This window comes from Homo sapiens, chromosome 20 (genome assembly GCF_000001405.40).
Source record: "Homo sapiens chromosome 20, GRCh38.p14 Primary Assembly".
NCBI classification, from domain to species: domain Eukaryota; kingdom Metazoa; phylum Chordata; class Mammalia; order Primates; family Hominidae; genus Homo; species Homo sapiens.
In genome coordinates, this window is record NC_000020.11 from 29,413,578 (window position 1) to 29,438,743 (window position 25,166).

Genomic DNA, 25,166 nt, shown 5'->3' on the forward strand with positions numbered 1-25,166 from the left:
CACTTTCTCCTTTCCAATGTCCCTCTGTCCATCTGTCCTTTTCTCGCTCCATTCCTCCCTTTCTCTCTGTTTCTGTTCCTCTCCCCATCTCTATTTTTCAACATTATATGATCCCATTGTGTGTATCTGTGTGTTAACATTTTTAGCAATAAAGTTCATTTTCATTAAGATATGTATATTGTTATTTAGACATGTTATTTATGTGTGTGCATTTGTTTAATAGACATAAATTTATTTCAGTGTTATTCTACAGCATAGTGTAAGCATAACTCATAAGCAGTGTCAACCCAAAAATTGTGTGACTCGCGTTACTGTGATTATTTTATACTGCAGTGGTCGAGAATAAAATCTCTATATCTCCAATTTATATCTGTGTATTACCATTAAATTGGCCCCATTTCCTGTAGTGATAGAACATTATTCCCAGACTATGACAGGAGCTGTGGACTGTGGGGAGGTCAGGGTTAGGATGATGCAGAAGTGAAGTTAAGACATTCTCTCTTTCACATCTTTATTAAATACAAATTCCAGATGCAAGAAATTTAAAATTCCAAACAATATTAATGTTTATTTCATTATTACATAAAATGAAAATTATAAAGCAACCAAACAAGTCATTAATACACTTAGATAATGAAAGATTGTATGATCTCAGTACAAAATACAAGTAGAATATATGACAAATATAACAAAATATGCTGTATTGTAGTAGGTGATGAAATCTCCATATCCTGCAATACAGTGCAATCAATTGAAATGTATGAAATACAATAAAGTATAAATTCAGGATGTTTAAAATGAAATAAAACATGAGACAGATGAATAAGTACAATCATTTACCATTTAATATATCTTGACTTAAATTTTATGTAGAAATATTAAAAGTAAACAGCTTGCATAGTAATTTTACTATGCAAACTGTAAAAATGTATAGACATTTTCCCACAGGGAGTGCTATTAATGGTTTGTGGATATTAGTACTCCATGGGTTCAGGCTAGAAGAGTGAGAGCCTACAACCTTTTCTGAATTAAAAGAGAAGCAATTTCTTGGTAAAGCGGCTCATGCCTGTAACCCCAGCACATTGGGAGGTGGAGGCTGGCGGATCACTTGAGTCCAAGGCCAACCTTGCCAATGTGACAAAACTCTACTAACAATACAAGAAAAAAAAATCAGCCAGGCATGGCAGTACATGCCTGTAGTCCCAGCTACTTGGGAGGCTGAGGCATGAGAATTGTTTGAACCCAGGAAGCAGAGGTTGCAGTGAGCTAAGATTGTGCCACTGCACTCCAGCCTGAGTGACATAGCAAGACTGTCTCAAAAAAAAATAGAGCATATAATTTTATATTTACTTTTCTACAATCTAAAATATGCAAATTCATGATTACAATCTAATATTTTTCTGATTATATAGAAATGCACGACTGTCACCAGACATCCAAAAGGCATCAAATGTCTAACATGAAATATAAAATTTGTCTATAGCCTTAGCGGTCTGCAAAATTCAGGGCTCACCATTCTGAGTATAGAGCTCAAGTTTCTTTCCTATGACTTCTTCAGGTTCTGTCATTTATTAACACAGTGCATCTAAAATTGTCACTGCTGGTCATCTGGAAGAATCTGAGAAGAAGCAGGTCCTTGTTCTCATTCCCAGAGCTGCATCTGTGCTGAATAGGGTCAGGGTGCTCTCAGCTTCACCTCATCTGATCCACTGACAGGCTCAGTTATCTCCTGCCCAGGGAAGGAATGGGTTTCTCTATCCAGGGCTGAATCCCCAGGACCAGGCAGTGTGGCTGGGACAAGCCAGCTCTCAGCAGGGAAGACATAAGCTGCCTGGGTGGCCATGGAATACAAGGTCTGCACCTGGGCACACAGAGGCCCCCGGAGCCTAGTGAGCAGTGTCAGCTGCTCACAGGTCATTGGAGAATGGATTTTCTGTGTCCACACCTGGGTTAGGTCTTGATAAACAGCCTCCGACATAGCTCGCACAGAGGTCACCAAGCTTTTTCGAAGTGATGGTGTTTGGTCTCCTAGGGCCCGAGACTTATGCCGCTTGCTGCGCTAGTGCAAGCCCTGGAACTTCCCCTATGGTGGGCATCACAGGTCTCCTGGATTTCACTGTTGTGCACAGCAGTGGAGGATCTTGATTTTTTATTCAACGTCAAGCTGCACTCCTCTTCTGGACAGTTCCCTGTAAAGAAAGCATGTGAGAGACTCACCAGAGCAGTCCCCACAGACCCTCATTTCCAGAACCCCCTGTGCACCCAGGTGAACCCCATTTGTCTCTCCCACTCCTTCCTGACCATCTCAGCACTGGAATGAAGTGAAGCTGAACCCCTTGTGAGTCCCCAGATATTCTCAGAGTGCTAGGATCTCAAAAATTTACTTGTCAATAAGTAACTCCCTTTCTGCTCAAGCCTCATATAAAAGTTTCCTGATTATTTGCTTTTTGGGGCAAACCAAAAACAAAAAAACCACCACCACCAGCAACAACAACAAACACCAAGATTCTACCTGCTCTGTATTGGCAGCTATCCTTGGAACTGATTTTTCTTTTCCTGCAGTTTTCCCGATATGAGCTGGACTCTGGTTCTGTGAACACAATGAGAGTTTGAGAGAGTGCCTCAAACTGAACACCCTGAAATTCCTAGTCCATCCTGGACACACAGGAGCTGAGGTTACCACCAAACCCCAGCTCTCTTCTGTTCTCCAGTGTCCAGGATCTGTACGGCCCTGGCTGCGAAGGAGCTTCCAGTTTCCTTGCCAAGGGAGCTTGTGTTGCTGCCCTGTCCCTTCTCACCTTGAAAGAGTCAAATCTTACCTGATCCAGCAGTCCTGTTCCCGGCCTTGAGCTTGGTTTCCTCAGAATTCTCCTTGTTTGGATTGGGCTCCCATCCTGCTGCAAAAGAAAGTTTAGATGACTCACCTCTCCCTAGGCAGAGTCCCATAGTCTATCTCTGATGCATTTTTGCGAATCAGTCTTTCATGTGAAGCTCTTCTGCCAGTGTCACGAGTGAACACATTTCTCAAAGTCCCCTGAGGGCACTAAGCCATTTCACATCCCCAAATCTCAAAATAAAACCCTGTTAAAGACACATAGCTCAGTATCCCTGATTCTAACCCTCCTTCCAGCCTCCATAGGAGCAGCCCAAGGCCTTACCTTGCCTTTGTGTGTGCTTCTCACTGGAATGGGAGAAGGTGGTCTTGCTTTCTTTTGAATGGTTTCTTCTCATCTGAGCCCTTTTCTGAAAAGGAGATCTGTTGGAAAGGGGGCTGGTCAGTGGAGCACTGGATGGAGGAGCACTAGAGATCGGGGTCTTCATTTCCCTTTCCCATGTTGAAGCTCAAGTGAAAGGTGCGCTCTCTCACACGTCCAAAGGCAGAGTGTGGGTTATTCTGCTAGACCTGCCTTTTATAGGTCCCTTGGCTGGGCGTGGCTTACTCTTATTGGCTGAAGAGTTTTCTCATTCCTGCCGCTTCTTAGATCCTCAATCAGAAGTTTCTTGCTGTAGTTCTACTGGGGACCTAGACACAGTTAATGGGAGACATTTTCAGGATCTTGTCATAATGTCAAGAAAACAAAGAACTGGGAGCACAGGGACCGGAAGATCAGGGAATCATTTCATCCGATTTCTGTCCCAGTTCCTACCTGGAAGTATTTATGATCCTGTTCACCTTTCAAGATGCACAATTAAACATGCCTATATTGACATATGTTATATATTTTGCACAGAAAGAAAATTTATTGTACATAGTGTTAACATTGCATGCATAGATATAATTTCTTAAATGCTTGGAAACAACAAATGTCAAATTATGGTTGATTGTATTAGAACCACACATATATGAAGAAATAAAAATGCAGAGAAAAAAATAAATACCAAATGAAATGGCCCTTCCTACCTTAAAAATGGGGAAGATAATTAGATCAAATGCAATAAAATTGAATTGATTAGGTTGAGCTAGTGCTAACCTAATCAGCCCCTGATTCCTGAGGTAGCAAAAAGTCTAGGTGGAAAAACTTTCCCCCTTTCTCACCCTTCCTCAGTCATCCTGGGAGCACCATTGTGTTCTGTGGAATTTATTCAGCCTCCCTAGTAAAAATGGACTTGGTCTCAAACAGGTAACCCAACCGATCACAAGAAAAACAGCCTAGATTCTGAACATTCAGCTCCTGTCTTCACACCGCAGACACCACCTGAATCCCGTCAAAGCCCACATTATTTCTCAACATCCACCATATTCCGGGGCAGCCTCTCAAAATTGCCGCAGTGAGACAGGACAAGGTGTGGTGGAGCTCCAGGTTCAGAATAGCTGCCTCATCCCTTCCTACTGCGGCGGAGTCTGTCTCTGCTGGTCAGAACCCTCCAGCTAGCCTAGTCTATGTCCAAGCAAGTGTCCCCTAAAAGGACCTTCTTCTCTCCCCCACTGCTGAGGAAAGCATGCAGGAATGAGAATTTCTATGTTAGGGAGTACTCAGCCTCCAGTCCCAAATGACTTGATTGACTGATGAACTGATTCCTTGAGGAGGAGAAAGACACGGGGAAGAGACTGTGTTGGGTGAGTCTGTGTTTTCCCAGCTGTGCTGCCTGTGCAAATAGTGGAACCAAAAAAGAATTAGTGGTAGACAGACACTGCCTAGTGAAATTGTCTGAATGTAAATGGAACTTATCATAATATGATATTGTTATATATTATATTATATTATAAAATTTATTTGACGTCTAAATAAATTTTGATATATTATGATATAATATATAAAATTTGGTCAAGTAATTTTATAAGAAAATTGAGTTAAATTTTTTAACAATATTAACATATAAACTCAATAGAAAGCTAGGAAAATTGTCTACTCTTGTGTAAATGACTTCTTTTTGGATAACTCTGTAAAAGGTGTGAAGAGGGGTCTGCTACTTACTTGATAGTAAGTACTTGATAAGACATCGACTTCCACATCTTTGCTGTTTTTAACCAGTGCCCTTTCAAGACATGAGAATATTTTACTCTAAGAAAGTATTTTCATAGATATCATATTAGGAATTTCGTCCATTTTAGTTAATAAATTATTATGACATTTAGTGATTATTAATAATTTATGTCACTGTTAAAGTATACTCCTACAGACAACATATTACATATGTGTTTTGATTTGTCCTTTAATCTCAGGTAAATTTTTTAAATTTTTATTTATTAAATTCTATATATTTTAGATAAAAGAGACCTTGTAACTGCCATATGATGTACTTTCTTAGAAAGAGAAATTCTCAGGCAAAACTCAGGCCTGGTTGGGCACGGTGGCTCATGCCTGTAATCCCAGCACTTTGCGAGGCCAAGGCGGGTGGATCACCTTAGGTCAGGAGTTCAAGGCTAGCCTAGCCAACATAAGGAAACCCCATCTGTACTAAAAATACAAAAAAAAAAAAAATTAACTGAATGTGGTGGCTCATGCCTGTAATCCCAGCTAGTTGGGAGGCAGGAGGATTGCTTGAACCTGGGAGGCAGAGGTTTTGGTGAGCCGAGATCATACCACTGCACTCCAGCTGGGTGACAGAGCAAAACTCCGTCTCAAAAAAAGAAAAAACTCAGGCTTATTTTTATCAAAATCTAGATTTTAAATAACATTTCTAGGTGTCTCCTTTCAATAAAAATCCAAACCAAAACAAACAAAAAATTTCTAGGTAATTCCCATGAATATTAATATCTGTTAAATTGGGTACTTTTATTTTTAAGAGAGGGATTGTTTATATGGATGTGTTGATGTGTCAAACACGTACAGTTAAAATTGTACCTTTTTTTGACAGAGCCTCACTCTGTCCCTCTGGATGGAGTGCAGTGGTGCAATCACAGCTCACTGCAGCCTTGACCTCCCAGACTCCAGTGATCCTCCCAAGTCAGCCTCCCAAATTGCTGTGACTACAAGTGTGCACCACTATGCCAAACTAACTTTTAAAAAATTGTTGGAGAGATGAGGTCTCACTATCTTGCCCCAGTGAGGTCTTGTTGTGTTGCCTAGGCTGGTCTCAAACTCCTGAGCTCTGGCTTCCAAAGTGATGAGGTTACAAATGTGAGCCACTGTGCCCAGCCAAGATTAGACCTTTCAATGAGTGCACATCTTACTTCAAAAAAAAAAAAAAAAAGGAACTTATTAAAAGATAAAGTCTGAGTTAAAAATGGGTTCACATTAATGATTTTTAATTTGGTACTTCTAGTGTTAAAAGAGGGATTGTTTATATGGGTGTGTTTATGTGTAAAAAGCTAGTTAAGGTCAAACCTTTATTTTTTTTTTTTTTGAGACAGAGTCTCACTCTGTCACCCAGGCTGATGTGAGGTGGCACAATCACAACTCACTGTAGCCTCAAACTCCTAGAATCAAGGGATCCTGCTATGTCAACATCCCAAGTAGCTGGAACTACAGGAGTGCACCACCGTGCCTGATTAATTTAAAAAAAATTAATAAAGATGTGGTCTCACTATGCTGCTCAGGCTGCTCTCAAACTCCTGACCTCAAATGATCCTCCTGCCTTGTCATTACAAAGTGATGGGATTACACAGGCTTAAGCCATTGTGCTCAGCCAAGATTTTACCTTCAGTGAGCACACATTTTATATCAGAAAAAATAATAATAAATAATAAAGTCTGTGTGAGAAATGAGTTGAAGTAGAGATAACACAAAATTGGCATGTTATTAGTTGTTGTTGAGCCTGGGTAACAGGCCTATTGTACTGTTTCTTTTATTTTGTGTATGTTTTAAATTTTCTGTAATAAAACATGTACAATAATACAAAGTTGATATACAATGTTAGCTCTTAAGATCTTAGTGACTTTGGGGGAGCAAAAAGAGAGAAAGTGGTTGCCAGGGCATCAGTGAAGCTGGTTCTATTTCTAGGTTACACACGTGTGTTCACTTTGAAATAATTCATTGAACTTTACATGATTTCTTTGTACACATCTTTCTGCATGAATGTTATACATATATAAAAATTTAAATATTACCTATTTGCACACAATTTTAACATCATATCTCAGAAGAATAGCACTGTTTTGTATTGTTTTAAAGTGGGACATGTTTGCTCAGGGCATCATCAGATGGATATTAATATTCCAAGGTATTTACTTATGTCCTAACACTTCGGTGACCTTCTAGGTCTTCCCATGATTACATCAATTTAGTAAGTAAGATAGTTTTAATTTTTTAGGGTATAGGCCAAGCATGGTGGCTCATGCCTACACTCTCAGCTCTTTGGGAGGCCAAGGCAGGAGGATCATTCGAGTCCAGTGTTTTGGTTTTTTTTGGATGCAATTATTATTCAGCAAAGTCCTCTCCCCACAGTGAGGTTCAGCAATGCAAGGGCACCTAGTGCGTAATATGCATTTGGTATGAGTAGAACTGGATTGAATCAGGAATAAAATGTGTAGCAGAGGTCAGTTCAGCAAGGAAAATTAGGTAATGCAGGTAAGGTCAGAAGACCACAACCCAGGAGCAAATCTTTCCATTTATTTCAGGAACCCATTTGCCACTAGTTCACCGGAAAAGGCTGATTTAAACCGTTCATTTCAGGAAACCATCTGCCACTAGTTCACTGGAAGGGGCTGACTTAAAGCAGCAGTTTGGGGGCTTGGTTGTTCCCCATAGTCATCCAGAGAGCTTTAAACAGCTCTGTGGCTCAGGTCCCACTGCAGGGATTCTGAATTCATTTATCTATTGCCTTTTGAGTTTAGGTAATTTTAAAAGCCTCCCTGGTGATTCTCATGTGCACCCAGGGGGAAAAATCCCTGGTTCAGGGTGAGAAATGCATTTGCTGCTCATGCATTCTATGTGTGCAGCTGTGATTTGCCCCATGGCCACTCCTGAGTTTGGGGTCTTAGAAAATACACTTGTCCTGTTAAAAATCAAAAAACAACTTCAAGACACACTCAGCTGTTTGGCTAAAATGCAACAGGAGAAAATATCTTCTCAACAGATGTACCTGGATTGCACTTGCTTTCAGAGTAAAAGGTGGTTTCAAGCACAATATAGCACTTTTTTCCTACAGGCTTTCAAGGCCTTTTACTATCATACCCTTATGAATCACAGGAATAAAAAAAAATCATAGTTATATAACTGTCAAATATTGTATTAGGAAAAAAATTAAGGGCATGTCTTCCGTGCTTAGTTACCCTGATTAAAATCAGTTAAGACCCATCTGCCCGGTGTGGTGGCTCACACCTGTAATTCCAGCACTTTGAAAGGCAGAGGCTGGAGGATCACGAGCTCAGGAGTTCAAGAACAGCCTGCTCAACATAACAAAACCCCATCTCTGCCAAAAATACAAATATTATCTGATTGTGGTAGTATGCATGTGTGGTCCCAGCTACTTGGGAGGCTGAGGTGGGAGAATCGCTGGAGCACAGAATGTCAAAGCTGCAGTAAGCCACTGCACCCCAGCCAGAATGACAGGGAAAGAGACCCTGTCTCAGAAGTAAAAATAAATAAAGAGACCCATTCTTTCAGACACCCTCCTTCTTCTACATAAAACACAGGGCTTTTGACTGAAATGTTTTAAGATGAACTGAAGATTCTCCCACGATCAGGAGCAGTAGATAGGGGTTGCTCCCTTCCTGTTCTTTGAGTTGAAGCAAGGCAGAGGTCTGGAAACTCAAACTGGTAAATACTCAAACTGGTAAATATATCAATTGCTTTCTTTTCATATGATGTATTAAGCTATTCTTGCATTGCTATTTAAAAAATCTGAGACTGGGTAATTTATAAGAAAAGAGTTTGACTGGCTCATGGTTCTGCAGGCTGTACAGGAAGCATAGCACCAGCATCTGCTTCTGGGAAGGCCTGGGGAAGCTTACAATCATGGTGAAAGAGAAGCAGGTATCTCACATGGTAGAAGCAGAAACAAGAAAGATGAGGAAGGGATGGACCACACTTCTAAACAACCAGATCTCGCGAGTACTCACTATCACAAGGACGGCACAGAGCCATGAGGGACTCACCCGGTGATTCAACCACCTCCTCTCCAGGCCCCACCTGCCACATTGGGGATTAAAATTCAATATGAGATTTGGAGGGGACATCTAAACTACATCACATGACCATCAGAAAAACAGATGAAGAATTCATGGTTTCTATTGTCCAGGAACTTTTCATCTAGAGCAAACGGATTAACAGCTGAATTCAGCATCCTGTGGTCAGAAGGGAAATGGATTAATGGCTGAATTCAGCATCCTGTGGTTGAAAGGGAAATGGATTAATGGCTGAATTCAGCATCCTGTAGTAGGAAGGGAGAAGGGAGCTGCACAGAGGGCCTTGGCTGCATTTGCTCCACTTCCCTTATGCTGTTCCTTGGGTTCCAATGTCACCATCTGAAGGGCTATTAATGGACAGAAGAATTATTGTTATTGTTGTGATTATTTCTATTTCTTTCACTTTGGTAAAAATAAGTTTTTAGCTTCTCATATAATTGTCCTAAAAAACCCTAAGAGTTTTGCTTAAGTTTCTTGTTATCATGTGTTATAAAAATTGACAGGGAAGTGGCTAAAACAGATTAAAATTACACAAGCTCTAAGAGTTAAGTCTCTGTTGGGCAGGCTTAGGAAAGACAGAACTGGAAATACTCCACCAGCATGAACATCAGAAATATGGGGTCCACTTTCTGTTCCAGCCCTGCCCAGATCCACCCTCTTCAATGGCCTCATCCAGGTCTGACCTCACCCTAGAATCTTCTCTCACAGAACTGATTAAAGGAGGCCAGAGATTCGGGCGGGGGCTCCTGCTGCCTCTCCTGAGCTGGTGCCCACGATTTCCTAAAATGGAAAAGCAGATAAATGGAAGCAAATAATTCTATATTTGGGGGCTATAATTTCTTTTTCATTGAAGCCAGTGCTTCTAGAGACACCCCACCTAGCAACTTGTTTTCCATTCCTGCAAATTCAGTAGCTGCTTCACAAGGCACAAAAAGGTAAATATAAATATAAAACATCTCTCTGAACAGTTCACCCTTTTTTCTCTATCCTTCTCATCTGTCAATATAGCATTTATTCTGCACATTTTATTTTCCAGGTAAATAATTTTTAAAATGGAAGAAAAAATAGAAATACTAGGCCCTTCATTTAAATCCTGAAAATTACAGAAAACTTAGCACCCAACCCCCAGGGTGCTATGAGGATTAACTCACATCATGTAATGTTTCCTGAACATTGCTCTGTAACAGACTTCTGAACACATAGTATGTGCTCAGTAAACATTGTATTAACTCATGTGTACATGTTTTCCAAATGCAGACTTACTCAAACATTGATGCCTTCTCTAGGCTTTCTAAACTGTAAAGAGCCAGCAGAAAATGACATGTTTGAAAATGGTGACTTGTGGTTTCCACTTTGGGCCAAAAGTATTTGTGTTGTGGTAACAGTGTTGGGTGTCAGGAGCTCTGTGCTGTGCCTACTTTCTCTAGCTGAGTGCTACTATATTGGATGTAGTGGAAGAAACATCAGCATTAAGAGGAGACTTTTTAAAGAAGCCAATTCATGGACCCCTTCCAAACCTGCAGAATCACATCACTAAGAGAGAGCCTGGAATCAGAAATAATTCATAGGCACATTGAAACTTGAGAGTTGGGCACGGTGACTCACGCCTGTAATCCCATCACTTTGGGAGGCTGAAGTGGGCAGATCACCTGAGGTCAGGTGTTCAAGACCAGCCTGGGTAACATGGCCAAATCATGTCTCTACTAAAACATACAAAAATTAGCCAGGTGTGGTGGCTGGTGCCCATCATCCTAGCTACTCAGGTGGCTGAGACTGCAGAATCACTCGAACCTGGGAGGTGGAGGTTGCCATGGGCCAAGATGGTGCCACTGGCCCATGCTTCCAGCCATAATCACATGGCCAGCTTAAAGAAATACCATCACCTGTGCCCTCCCCAGAGACTCTGTCTATTGGTCTTGGTGGGAGCAACTATGTGGTTGTAATTAGAAAGTCAAATTGTCCCTCTTTGATGATTATATAATATCATATATACAAAAATTCTGAAGACCACCAAAAAAACTCTTAGATTTGATAAATAAATTTAATAATGTTTCAGAATGCAAAAATCAATGTACAAAAATTGGTAGCATTTTTATACACTAATGATGATCAAGCTGAGAACTGAATTAAAAAGTCACTTCCTTTTACAATAGCTACAAAAAAAGGTAAAATGCTTAGAAATACAATTAGTCAAAGAGATGAACGATCCCTACAAGGAAAACTACAAAACACTGATGAAAGAAATTGTACATGACACAAATGAGAAAAACATCCCATGCTCATGGATTGGAAGAATTATGATCAATAAAATGACTCTACTGCCCAAAGCAATCTACATATTAAATTCAATTCCTACCAAACTGCCAATGTTATTTTTTATAAAATTAGAAAAAAAACACTAAAATTCACATGGAACCACAAAAAGAGCCTGAATAGCCAAAGCAAATCTAAGCAAAGAGAATAAAGCTGGAGATATTACATTATCTGACTTAAAATTATGCTAGAAGGCTGTAGTAACCAAAACAGCATGGTACTGATATAAATTGACACATAGATCAATGGTACAGAATAGAGAACCTAGAAATAAAGCCACATACCTACAAACAACTGATCTTTTACAAAGTCAACAAAAACATACACTGGAGAAATGACATCCTATTCAATAAATTTTGCTGGAAAAATTATATTGCCGTATGCAGAAGTATGGAATGGGACCCCTATGTCTCACCATATACAAAAATCAACTCAATATGGGTTAAAAGACTAAAATGTAAGACCTGAAACTATAAAAATGCTAGAAGAAACTCTAGGATAAACTCTTCTAGACATTGACTTGGAAAAAGAATTTATGACTAAGATCTCAAAAGCAGATGTAACAATAACAAAAATAGACAAAAGGAACTCAAACTATAAAGCTCCTGAAAATGAGCTTTTTAATTAACACAGTAAACAGAAAACCTATGGAATGAGATAAACATTTACCAGTATTGCATGTAACAAAGATCTAATGTCCAGAATAATCAAGGAACTGAAACAGCTCAACAAAAATAAAACAAGTAACCTCATTAAAAAGCAAGCAAAGAACATGAACATTAAAAAAAAAAGACACTGATGGTCAATGGTCAACAAGCATGTAAAACATGCTCAACGTTGTCAATGATCAGAGAAATGCCAATTAAAAACCAAAATGAGGTACAAACTTACACCATGCAGAATGGCTATTACTAAAAAGCAGAAAAATGAGCTATCGGCAAGGATACAGAGAAAAGAGAACACTTATACATTGTTTGTGGGAAAGTAACTTTCTGCAATCTCTATGGAAAACAGTATGGAGATTTCAAAATAGACTAAAAATAGAACTTCCATTTGATTCAGCATTCCCACTACTTGGTATCTACCCAAAGGAAAATAATTTGTTACATAAAGAAAATACCCATGCTCACATGTTTATCACAGCACTATTCACAATAGCCAATATATGAAATCAATTTAAATTTATCAATCAATAATCGAATAAAGAAAATGTGCTATACAAGTATACCATGGAATGTTACTCAGCCATGAAGAAGAATAAAGTCATGTCTTTTGCAACAACATAAATAAAACCAGAGGCCATTATTGTAAGTGAAAAAACTCAGAAACAGAAAATCTAATCTGTATTTTCTCACTTGCAAGTGGGATCTCAATTATGCATACACTTGGATATAGAGACTGGAAAGATAGACACTGGAGACTCAGAAAGATGGGAGGTTGGAGAGGGTTTAGGAATGAGAAAATAACTAATTGGGACAATAAACAACATTCAGATGATTGTCACACCAAAAGCCCATACTTCATCCCTATGCAACATGCTTCTGTAAGGGAGCTGCATTTGTACTCTCTAACGTATTAATAAAGAGATTAAAAAAAAAAGACCTGGGGCGGTGGCTCAAGCCTATAATCCCAGCACTTTGGGAGGCTGAGGCAGGCGGATCACGTGGTCAGGAGTTCAAGACCAGCCTGGCCAATATAGTGAAACCCCATCTCTACTAAAAATACAAAAATTAGCCGGGCATGGTGGAGCACGCCTGTAGTCCCAGCTACTCAGGAGGCTAAGGCAGGAGAATCACCTGAACCCGGGAAGCGGAGGTTGTGGTGAGCAGAGATTTTGTCACTGCACTCCAGCCTGGGGAATAGAGGGAGACTTCGTCTCAAAAAAAAAAAAAAGAGAGAAAAAAAAACTTTGGCTTTTATCAAGAGGACAAACTATTCAGTTCAGACCTCATAATTTTCATAAATAATTAGATTAGGCAAAAAAAATTAACAAAAATAAATAAAAAATAATATTGTATTTTAAGAATGATATAGAAAGATAATTTGATGAATTAGAGTAGTTAGTACTTAGCACATAGAATATGTTAGGCAAGATTCTAAGCCACTTAGACCTTTATGTACAGAATATGTAACAGAGTAAAATAAATAACACAAAGATTCATTGGCAATGACAAATTGACATATTTTCAATCACATTAGATGATATTAAAACCATTAACAAATTTACTGTTTTGTTTCATAATAAAAAAGAATGTTAAATAACTTCATTAAAAAGTTTGACTAATTAGGCATATAGATAAATGGGCAGCATTTTGACCAGAACACAGAGGATACACATTTTCAAAGACCAGACAAAATTATTTATTTATTTTTTGTGGGGAGAGAACAGTTTTATTATCTGGGGATACACTGGAGTCCTCTCCCTGGGAGGTGGGTCTTCCACTGGTTATCCCCGCCAGGGCTCCAGGGGGCGCCATGCGATTCAGTGCTGGGCTCCGCTGGGGGCCGGGCCTTGGAGAAGACGAACTGTGCAGGGAAGCAGCAGCTGTGGGGTCCTCACCGCCCGCTCCGCCCGGCTGCACCCGGCCTCCTGGTGCTCCTCAGGCTCCCGCCGAGTCTGCTTCTCTGGACGGCAGCGAACCATCCTGCCCAGAACCTTATCCTCACAGCCCAGTTTGACGCAGGTCAGCCATTCCTGCTTCCTCCTCTCAGGCTGGACTTTGCACTTGGGTTTTTACAGTCTTTCCTCCGGCCACTTCTCTGTCTGCCGGAGCTTAAATTCCAGCCTCACAAATGTTCCAGCTGGGAAGGGCGTGTCCAGGGCGCTGTCCACACTGGTCTCCTGGAAGGCCCGCTGCACGGGCAGGTGCTTGCAGATTCCTCCAGGACCACCTGCAGGCCCCGGCGCTGGCCCTGTGAGCTCAGCCCCTCCCGCGTCCCCCGCGCCCACCCACTGGGCCAGCGAGATCTGCAGCCCTCTCAGGCTTCCCCTGTCACCCCAGCCCTGCGAAGCGGGTGTGCGCCCCTTAGTTCTCCGAGCCTGCCGGGAGCCACCTCCCCCCCTGCCCTGCCCCTGGCGGGGGGCATGCCCTCAGAACGCTGGGCAGAGGCGAAGGAAGCGGGAAATGTCCCTTTCTCCACACTGACCTTGGGATGTGCTGGGTCCTCTCCACTCCCTCCCACCCTGCCCGCGCTGTTCCCTGGGGCCCGCAGTTTCAGCAAAGTTCCCTGCCGCGCTGGGAAGCCGTCCTGTTGCTCACTCTCACCCTTCCTCCTTTTCTGGCCCATTATCTCTCCCCACTGGGTCTCCGACATGACCCTATCTCCTCCCGGCTGTCCCCGGAGCCCCTCTCTGCTTCCCCAGCTCAGCCCCCTCTCTGACGGCTTCTCCCTCCCACCCCCACGTGAATCTCCGGGCTCTCACGGGGTGCCCCTGATCCCCGGGGCCTAGGTCAACCAGACAAAATTATTTTAAATGGGAATTCCATTGAATTCATGAAAGTAGGAATCCATCTGGTCATATTTTAAATAATTTTGAAATGATAATAGCAACTATCAATTTAACCAGAATTCAGAATACCCACCATTTTACCAGAAAAAAAAAAAAAAACCTGTTATAACTAACCAACTAAGTCAGTAAATTTTCAGGATACAATATTAACATATGAACATCAGTGGCATTTTTTTACAGTAACAACAAAATATCTGAAACAGGAATAAAGATAGTTCCATTTACAATATTATCAAATAGAATGAAATGCTTAGGAATGAGTTAACAAAGTGTGAAAGATCTGCATACTGAAAACTATAAAATGTTGAGGAAAGAAAATGAAAAATACAAAATGGGAAATATATTTTGTGTTCATGGATTCTAAAAATTAATATTAAAATATCCATACTACACAAAGTGGTCTACAGAGTTAAATTTCTATCAAAATTTTAATGCCATTTTATTAAAAATGTAGAACAACAATTTTAAAATTAGTATGGAACCACAAAAGACCTCAAATAGCCAAATACTGAGAAGAACAAAAAGGCTGAAAGCCTTACGCTTCCTGATTTCAAACTATATTACAAAGCTGTAGTCATCAATATAGTATTGTACCTACATAAAAACCAATAGAACAGAATAGAGGATCCAGAAATAAACTCGCAAATATACAGTCGACCAGTCCCACAGAATGGAGAAAGGATAAACACATCAAGGAGTGGTGTAAGAAAAACTAGATATGCACAGAAAAAAGTGAACCTTTCTCTCACGTCATCACAAAATGAATTTGAAATGAAATAAAGACTTAAACATAAGAACTGAAATCATGAATCCTCTAAAAAAAAATGGGGAAAAACCTTGACACTGGTCATGGCAATGATGTTTTGGATATGACACCAAGAACACAGTCAACAAAAGCAAAAATGAACAAGTGGAACTATGTCAAAGTTAAAATTTTCTGCACAATAAAGGAAACAACAAAATGTAAAGGCATTATAGGAAATGGGAGGAAATATTTGTAAACCATATGTAGGATAATATGTTACTATCCAAAATATATGTCATACTAATCAATACAAAAAACCCACAGCAGAATTAAAAGCAATTTCTTGATTAATAATTGGGCAAAATATATAAATAACAGTTTTTCCAAAGATATACAAATGGCCAGCAGGTGTATAAAAAATGCTTGACATCACTAATTATCAGAGTAATTAAAATCAAAATCACAATGAGGTATCACCTTATCGTGGTGTTTGGATGCCTATTATCAAAAAGTCAAAAGATAAAAAGTGTTAGGGTGTGGAAAAAGAGAACACTTGTGCACTGTTGCTGAGGATGTCAATTGGTGCAGCTATTATGAAAAACGGTATGGAGGTTCCTTAAAATTTTTAAACTAGAACTACCACTAATCCCAATTAGGAGTATATAGCCAAAGGACATAAAATCAGGATCATCAAGGGTATCTGCACTCCTCTGATACAGATAAATAAACTGAGAGATACATAATTTCAGCTTTAATAAAAATGAAACTCATCCACAACAATATTGATAAATCTTGAAGACATTATGCTCAGTGAAATAAGCCGAATACAGAAAGACAACTACTGCATGATCTCGTTTGTATGTAAAATCTAAAAAAGTAAATAAAAATTTAAAAAGCCATGGAAACAGTAGAACGGTGGTTCCCATGGGCTAAGAAGTGGGGAAAGTAGGGAGATATCCATGGAAGGGGCGCACCTTCAGTTACAAGGTGAGTAACTGCTGGGGACCTAATGTACAGAATAGTGACTATAGTTAACAATACTCTGTACTTGAAATTTGCTACAAGAGTAGATCTCAGGTGCTCTCACCACACACACAGAAACGTATTAACTATCTGAGGGGATAGATAGGCTAACTAGCTTAACTGAGGTAATTTAAAGACTACTGATATCTCAAAACACTCTATTGTACACCCTAAAAATATACACTTTTCAATTTGTCAACCATAGCTCAACGAATGGAGAAAAAAATAAGAGTAACCAGCAGGTCATATCTAGCCACAGGGAAACTCAATTTAAAACGCGCTTGGCCACTGTTTCCAGCTCAACTCGGGAACTGCCGGAGCGCTTCTGGCCCCTGGACTTCAACGCTCCTCCTGCGGCCCCCGTGGCTGGGGAAGGTACAGTCGTTCCCAGGATTCCAGGGGGCGCAGATCCGGCAGGGCCATCGCCGTCCCCTTGCTCTTGCCGCAGCCCCGTTAGGCTCCGCGTTTCGGGGCCTCCTGGCCGGGGAGGCTGCCTGTGGCTGCCCGCGCGCCCCCGTGGCTGTGGTTCAGCCGGCCCCCGCTTCGGCCCCGCGCAGCCCCTCCGGGGCCGCAGCCGTCTGGGGCCCGAACTCACAGCCTCGGGCCGGTACCCGCAGCCAGCGCCTTCGCTGTGGCCGCTCCTCCCCCTCGCCGAGCCCGAGCTGGCCCAGCGGAGAAGGAGGACGGAGAAGCTGGAACCCGAACGCTGAGCTGCGGGCGGCAGGTGCGGGAACGGGAGAAGCTATGGCCTCGCACAGGACGGCTGCTCAGAGCGACACGAGCAACCGCCAGGAGCTCCGCACGCAGCTGGAAGAACTCAGTAATGTACTCCGCTGTGGGATAAATGGAGATAATAAAAGTCTGATGTAGAAGTACTCGCAGAGAACCATGCTCCTTGGTCAATCTCAGATTATTATCAGACCTACTCTAATGATGTTAGTCTTCCAAATAAAGTGAGTGACTGAACTGTCAAATCAGCAAGATCAGGATATTGAAACTCTTGCTTTGAATTCTAACGACCAGTTATAAATAGAAAATGATGCTTACCCTGGTACTGATAGGACACCAAATGTTAAATGTAGACAAGAGAGTCATTTGCCTCAAATTCACAGGAGCCAGCATCTGCATTAGCAGCACAAGATACGTCCTTAGAAGGTTCATCATTAGCTGGAAGTTTGAGAGCTGCAGCAGAAGCGGCTTTATCACAGACTGGATTTAGTTATGATGAAAATACTGGACTGTATTTTGACCACAGCACTGGTTTCTATTAAGATTCTGAGAATCAAATATATTATGATTTAATTTATTACTACTGTGATGTGGAAAGTGGTAGCTATCGGTTTCATTCTCAAGTAGTTTTGCCACATTATCAGACTTATAGCACAAAACAAAAATAAAAAAATTGAGAAAAGAAAGGATCCAGATTCATCTACAAAAAAAAAAAAAAAGAGGAAAAGGATTTGAATTCAGAGGATCAAGAAGCCTTCAGTGTTGAACATACAAGCTGCAATGGGAAAGACAATTTCACAAATCTGAAAAAAAAAAGCCAAAATAATCATTCATCACAAAAATAATCCCCCAAAATTCACTGTTCCAGTTAGTGGAAATACTATGGAATCTCCTCCTAATGAAAACATCTCAATTCATCTTTAAGGATGAGAAAATGACAGAGACTGATAGTGAAACAGAAGAAGGCGAAATTACAGACTCTCAGACCGAGGGTAGTTATGATGAAGGTATTACCAGTAAAGGCAATGCAACTGCAAAAGATACTGAGGAGGAAGATGAGGAAAAAGTGTGGCCCTCATATATGAGAGTAATTGTCATTACATCACCTGTGTTACAGACAGGATCATTCTGCATCATTACTGCTGTAAAATCTGCTACAATTGGAAGAGAAAATGACATGGAGCATACTCTTCTAATCCCTGAAGTTGGTGTAAGTTTCATGAAGAAATTTATTTTGACCATGACTTACAAAGTTATGTCCTTTTGGATCAGGCAGTCAAAATGGAACAATTGTTAATGTAAAATGGATGGTTCAGCTGAAAACTAAATGTGACCCTTATGAACCTGAGCATGGAGATAAAGTGAAAATTGGAGACACTGTGTTATCTTATTACATTCACCCTGGCAGTAATAGCTGTGTTGGATGTGAACCAGGGCAGGTTAGAGCTCACCTTTTCCTTGATAAAAAAGATGAATCATTTGTTGGTCCATCATTAACTAAGAAGGAAACTAGTTGGAAAGAAGAAAAGGATTTTAAAAATATATGAGTAAAATATGGTTTACAGAATACAGACTACATAGATGATAAGATACTGGAGAATCAAAAATGTAAAGATAGAGCTGGAAAACATAGGGAGCAGATTGGAAGTGAAGGAAATTTCCAAAGAGATGATGCTCCTGCATCTGTTCATTCTGAAATTACTGATGGCGACAAAGGTCAGAAGATGTTGAAAAAGATGTGTTGAAAACAGGAGAAGGCCTGGGGAAGGATGGTGGAAGAATGAAAACTCCAATACAGCTTCAGCTTCGGCAAATACATGCAGGATCGCAGACAGACAAACCATCCTCAATTAAAGAGACTCACCTTCTCCAAAACAAGAACAACAACAACAAGAACAACAACTGGGACAAAGCACAGGAGAGGTTTGCTGAAAACTTTCCAGAAACTAAACTTCAAAAAGATGACCTAGGAACCATTCCTTGGGTAAAAGGGACTGAGGAGTGAAGGTTAATCACAAAAGAAAACTCAAGCTTTTTTATAAATAGAGTTTGGAAACTCTTATTGCAGAATGTCTCTCCCCCAAAAAGTCAGTGGCACAAGAAAGCTGTGTCATGGTTTACCCCTTCCTGATTCAGAAATGTGTAATAAAATGTGGTTTGCAGCTTTTAAAAAACACTTTTTAAACTAATTATTAGTGACTGAATTAATTTATACAGTAAGTGAACTAAAGTTCACAGGGCACAGATAAGTTTATCAAACTTTACTATTTTATCTTGTCATTTACAACATCCATATAAGCAATTAGCCATATAAGCAAAATTCTTATAACCACTTAAATGCTCATTTGTCCTTGTCTCCATATATTCATAGTAGTATGCACAGAAAATACAGCAAAAGAAACATCTAAATTCTACAAAAATAAATCTGACAATATACATTCTTGTTTATGCCCTTCAGGACCTAGATAAAAAATATTGAGACAACATGAATAGTGATGCGTATATTTTCTTATATTTGGAATAGTCTAAATCATATTAAAGAACTAATGAACAGGTGACATGTCACAGAAAATTTGTCTTTTATTGTTTTCTTCGGTGAAGAATCTGAATTTGTTGATATATACTATACATTCAGCATTTGTATTTGGTTTGTTTCATAGCTAATGAAATGTTTGTACATGAACAAATGAGTACAGTATTGAAATAGTTCATGTGCTGGCATTCATACTTTTTATAAATACCATTGCAGGCAATGAAGTTGTGCCAGAAAAATCTGATTTCGAGTGCAAAAGGAATATTTAGCCAGGGCCTCAAGCTCAGTATATTTATTGAAAATGTCCTAAATTGCCATAAAACTTTATAATGTTAAATTATTCATTTCAATAAATTATGAATTAAACAAAAAATACAAATGATGTATTTTATGGATCAGAGAAGTGCTAATGAGACAGAATGGCCATTGAAGCCGAAAGGTCTGAATTCAGGTAGATAATTTTACTCATATTAGTTTTATGTTAGAGAAAACAATGCTTCTGACCATATACTATTTATTGCAGTGGAGTATTTCAAAAATATGTACATAATATATAATTAATTTTCTAATGGTATAAAAGTAATCACATTCTACAAATTATTACAATATGGTCTATTGATGAGAGGGGTGTTTCAAATGAAAAACTTGGAATTTCTCATGATGATAGATGCCATAGAAAATCTATGTAAAATATTTCACTCATGTATGCAACTATGGATATTTCTGCTTTTCAGAAAAATAATATACTTTAAAAACCTAATGCAGACAATTAAAATCACCAAGAAGTTACAAGAATTCACAGAATGTGTAATATAGTTGAAAGGAAATTAAGAAAACTTCCCAGGACTGGAAGTAAATAAAGGTAATGATCCCGAGAAGTAATCAACCTAAGAAGCCAGGGCTCCACTCAGATGCGTCTGATTACAAGAATGTCAGGTCCATGTGGGTTGTTCCCTTCTGACAAGGCAAATGGAATAAACAAAGAGAAACTGCCTGCAGGCATTGGAATGTGGTGTCTCCCATATGTGAGGATTAAATTATAAATTATGTTGCACACAAGGAGATGAGCTACTGGGGTGAAGCATCAGAAGAAATTATATGGCACATAAATCTCAGATATTGAATTTATATTTAAATGTTTAAGTCAATATAATGGAGAAACAAGAAACCAAAATAATGTGGAAAGAAACTACGAGCTTGTCAAGCTATCTTTGGAAAAGAGGCAAATGAAAAGTAAAGTATTGAAAGTGTTGTAAAACAATTTAATGTACAACATACAAATGACATATTAAAATAGGCTGAGCCAAAAACAGGGCTAGTAAAGTGAAATGCTGATCACAATTAATGTAGTCGTATATATTATAGAAGGCAAATTAATAGAAAATATAAATGTATTTATATATGAAGATTAGATTGAGAAGAAATAAAAAGCATTTAATTGTTTTACCAGACTCTCTAAATAGGAAGGCAACAGTCAAAGAATCAGTGACTCATAAGTTTCAGAAATTGGAAACCAGACACTAATCCTTTAAAAGTTTAGGGTGTAATATATGAAAAAAAGGTAAATTAAGAAATACTTAGAAGAAATAATGGTTTGGGTTATTGTGAATACTGCTTAATAAACATGAGAATGCAGTTATCTTTTTTGACATGCTTATTTTGTTTCCTTTTGATATAAACCCAGCAATGAGATTGCTGGATCATATGGTAGTTCTATTTATAATTTATTGAAAAACCTCCATACTGTTCTCCCTAGAGAAATGGGAATGATTGTACTAATTTACATTCCTACCAACAGTGTATAAGTGCCCATCTACAGAATAAATAAAGAAAATGTTATACACACACACGCACACACACACACACGCACACACACACAGGAATAATGTTCAGTTGTAAAACAGAATGAAGTTTTGTCATTTGTGTCAACATGGATGAGCCTAGAGGACATTATGTTAAGTGGAATAAGCCAGGCACAGAAAGAAAAAGACCATGTGCTCTCACTCACGTGAAATCTGAAGAAGTCCATCTCATAGAAGTAGACAGTAGGATGGTGGTTACCAGAGGTTAGAGATGGCAGAAGGATGAGGGAGTGGGGAGAGCTTTGTCACCGGGTTACAAAGTTACAGTTAGGAAGAATAAATCCTGGTGTTCTATTACACAGCACGATGACTATAGCCAATAATAATGTACGTTTATTCTATAATAGCTTGAAGCGAGGATTTTGAACTTTATTAGCAGAAGGAAATAAATGTTTAAAGTGTTAAATATGCTAATTACTCTGGTTGGATCACTGTACAGTGTATATGGGTACAATGTGATGCAGTGAAACATCATATAATTAATATAATTTTACATGTTTGTGGAGTACAGTGTGATGCATCACACTGTACCATGTAGTATGATGCAGTGAAACATCATGTAATTAACACATGATAGTTATATGTGTTTACGGAGTACAATGTTATGTTTCACTGCATCTCACTCTACCGTATAGTATAATGCAGAGGAACATCATAATTAACATATGATAATTATACATGTTTACAGAGTACACTGTGATGTTTCACTGCATCACACTGTACCATGTAGTATGATGCAGTGAAACATCACACTGTACCCCATAAATATTACTGGTTCAGCAGGGAACTGTGGGACATAGAGCAGCTCTGGGTTAGCCATGACCAGCAGCTTCACCTGTATGGGGTAGCGAGAGGGGAAGGGCCCTGTGCTCGGCTGAGAGTTGACCCCTGACCACATCCACTTTGACTGCTAGGTGCCAGCAGAGCTCAGGGACGCCTAACTTCAGGCAGAGGCAGGAAGCAAGGTCATTACCTGGTTTTTTTTGTTTTTTTTTTTGTTGTTTTTTTTGAGAGAGTCTCACTCTATCGCCCAGGCTGGAGTGCAGTGGTGCGATCTCGGCTCACTGCAACGTACATAGAGGTGTACATCAGAATCACACCTGCAGGAAGGTCCCTGGATGAGATTAACAATCCCACATAGAGGTGTACATGAGAATCTCGCCTGCAGGAAGGTCCCTGGGTGAGATTAACAATCCCACATAAATGCCGGTTCTGGGTATGAGAGTCAAGGCCTCCTGTATGTTGCATGTATGTACATAAGTCACAATCTCAATGGTGGAATGGATTTTTCCATGAGAGCCTTAATGCCTTTTGAAAATTGAGTTATCTTAGTGGAGTCACAGCCTCACAAGTGTTTTGGATCTTGGTCAGGGAGTCACAAACCCACTTGTGGACAACATCCACTTATGAGAGCCAAATTTCCAACTTTTGACTGTCTCTGGGTGTGAGATTCAGAACCTCAATTATGGGCTGTGTCCATGTGGGAGAATGATAATTTTTACTGATGGCTGGGCTCAGGCAGGAGCCTTTCATCCTGCAGGCTTTGAGATAAATGATACATCACAGTACCCAAAATATGCTGGGTGCAGGCAAAAGAGGAGAGTCATATTAGCTGGTTGCTAGGTCCAGTCATATGTCACCACCTCTGTTTTTGGCAGGGCTAAGGCAGAAGAGGAGAGTCAGAGCTAAAGAAATGTCACAATGTTCCTGTGGGTAGGGCCTATGCATAAGAATTGCACCACCTAGTCATTGAACCCAGCCATATATTACAATACACAATGTATACAGGGCCCAGGCAAGAAAGGAGAGTATATCACATAGGTACTGGGTCCAGCAATGTGTCACAATACCACCTGAGGGGAGGCTCCAGGCAACAGGGTAACATTACCTAAGTGAAGTGCCCAGAGAGATGTTTCAATGCCCCTGGTGGGTAGGATTTTGAAAAAGGAGAAGTTACATAACCTAGGGGCCAGGCCTAGCTGTGTGTCACACTCATCTCCAAGATGGAGCCCAGACATGAGAGAAAAGTCACATCATGTAGGTACTGTGCAAAGTAATATGTCACAATCCTTATGTGAGCAGGCCCTAGGAAGAAGTAGAGAGTCACATAGTCTAGATGATGGGCCCAGAGGTATTTGACAATGACTGCTGTAGGTAGGGACCAGGCAGAATAATCACTTCACCTGTGTGCCGTGCCCAGTTATAAGTCACACTTCCCTCTGTGGGCATGACCGAGGCAGGGAGAAGAGTCACATCATCCTGGTGCTTTGCCCAAAGATATGTCACAATCTCTCCTGTGGGCAATGCTCAGGTGAGAGAGGAGAGTCACATCAAATAGGTAGTGGACACAGAAGTATGTCACAAGGCCTTCTGTGAACTTGATCCAGGCAGAAGATTCACATCAACTTGGTGCTAAGCCCAGCAACATGTCACAATCCCTTCTGTGTGAAGGGACCAGAAAGGAAAAGAGAATCACATTACCTGGCCAGTGAGCACAGAGATCTGTCACAGTGCCCCTTGTAGGCAGGGCCCAGGCAGAGGAGTTACATCAACTGGGTAGCGGACCCAGCAATATACCACAGTGTCCCATATGGGCACAAGCTGGAGAGTCACATAACCTGGGTGCCAGGCCAAGCTATATAGAACAACGCTTCCTGTGGGCAGCGCCAAGACAGAAGAGAAGACTCACATCGCCTGGGTGCAAGGTCTAGCGATATGTCAAAATGCTCACTGTGGGCAGTGCCAAGGAAGGAGAATAGAGTTACACCCTCAAGGTGCTGGATCCAGCAATATGTTAATATTCCATCTGTGGGCTGGGTCCATGCAAGAGCGTCAAGTCACTCAGGTGCTAGGCACTGGGAAATTTCATCATGAAACCTGCAGAATGGTCCGGGAATGAGATTAACAATCCCACAACTGTCACAGTTGTAGGCATGACATTCAACACCTCTTGTATGTTGGGTCTAAGCCCACGAGTAACCATCTCAACAACAGACTGGATTTGTACATGACAGCCTCAATTCCTCTGCAGACTGAAGTCACAGCCTCACAGTTATGTTGAATCTTGGTCTGAGAGTCACCAACCCATGAGTATCCATATATAAGTCAATTTTTCCCACCTTTGACTGACTACAGGTGTGAGATTCAGAACCTCAACAGTGACCTGTGTTCCTGTGAGAGGATGAGAATATTTACTGTTGGCTGGGTGTGCATATGAGTGCCACAATCTCACCTGTGTGCTCGGCCCAGTTAGCAATCTCTGTGTACTACCCAATGGCGCTATACAGTATGAATGAGAGTTGCAATCAACTTTGAGACCTTCCTGCTGGTAGGGACCCGTAATCGTACCTGTGGCATTAAGCCCGGGTATGAGAGTCAACGTCATTACAATTAACTAGGTCAGGATAGGAGACTCCTCCCTTATCTATAAGCTGGGCTTA

At 40.3% G+C, this 25,166-nt stretch overlaps 3 pseudogenes across 1 annotated transcript, besides 1 other annotated feature; 1 reads left to right on the plus strand and 2 right to left on the minus strand.

The window, feature by feature from the left end:
• Positions 1-25,166: part of a centromere (Linear centromere model derived predominantly from reads generated in PMID: 17803354. This region does not represent an actual centromere sequence, as long-range ordering of repeats and unmapped WGS contigs is not provided by the model. For details of model production, see http://arxiv.org/abs/1307.0035.) that runs on past both edges of the window.
• FRG2EP (FSHD region gene 2 family member E, pseudogene) lies at positions 498-3,384 on the minus strand (annotated as a pseudogene). Its single transcript, NR_037925.1, is given in 4 exon segments — positions 498-2,189; positions 2,513-2,590; positions 2,820-2,897; positions 3,159-3,384. The product of NR_037925.1 is annotated as an FSHD region gene 2 family member E, pseudogene (transcript).
• On the minus strand, positions 13,701-14,327 carry RARRES2P11 (retinoic acid receptor responder 2 pseudogene 11; annotated as a pseudogene).
• AGGF1P10 (angiogenic factor with G-patch and FHA domains 1 pseudogene 10) lies at positions 16,887-20,201 on the plus strand (annotated as a pseudogene).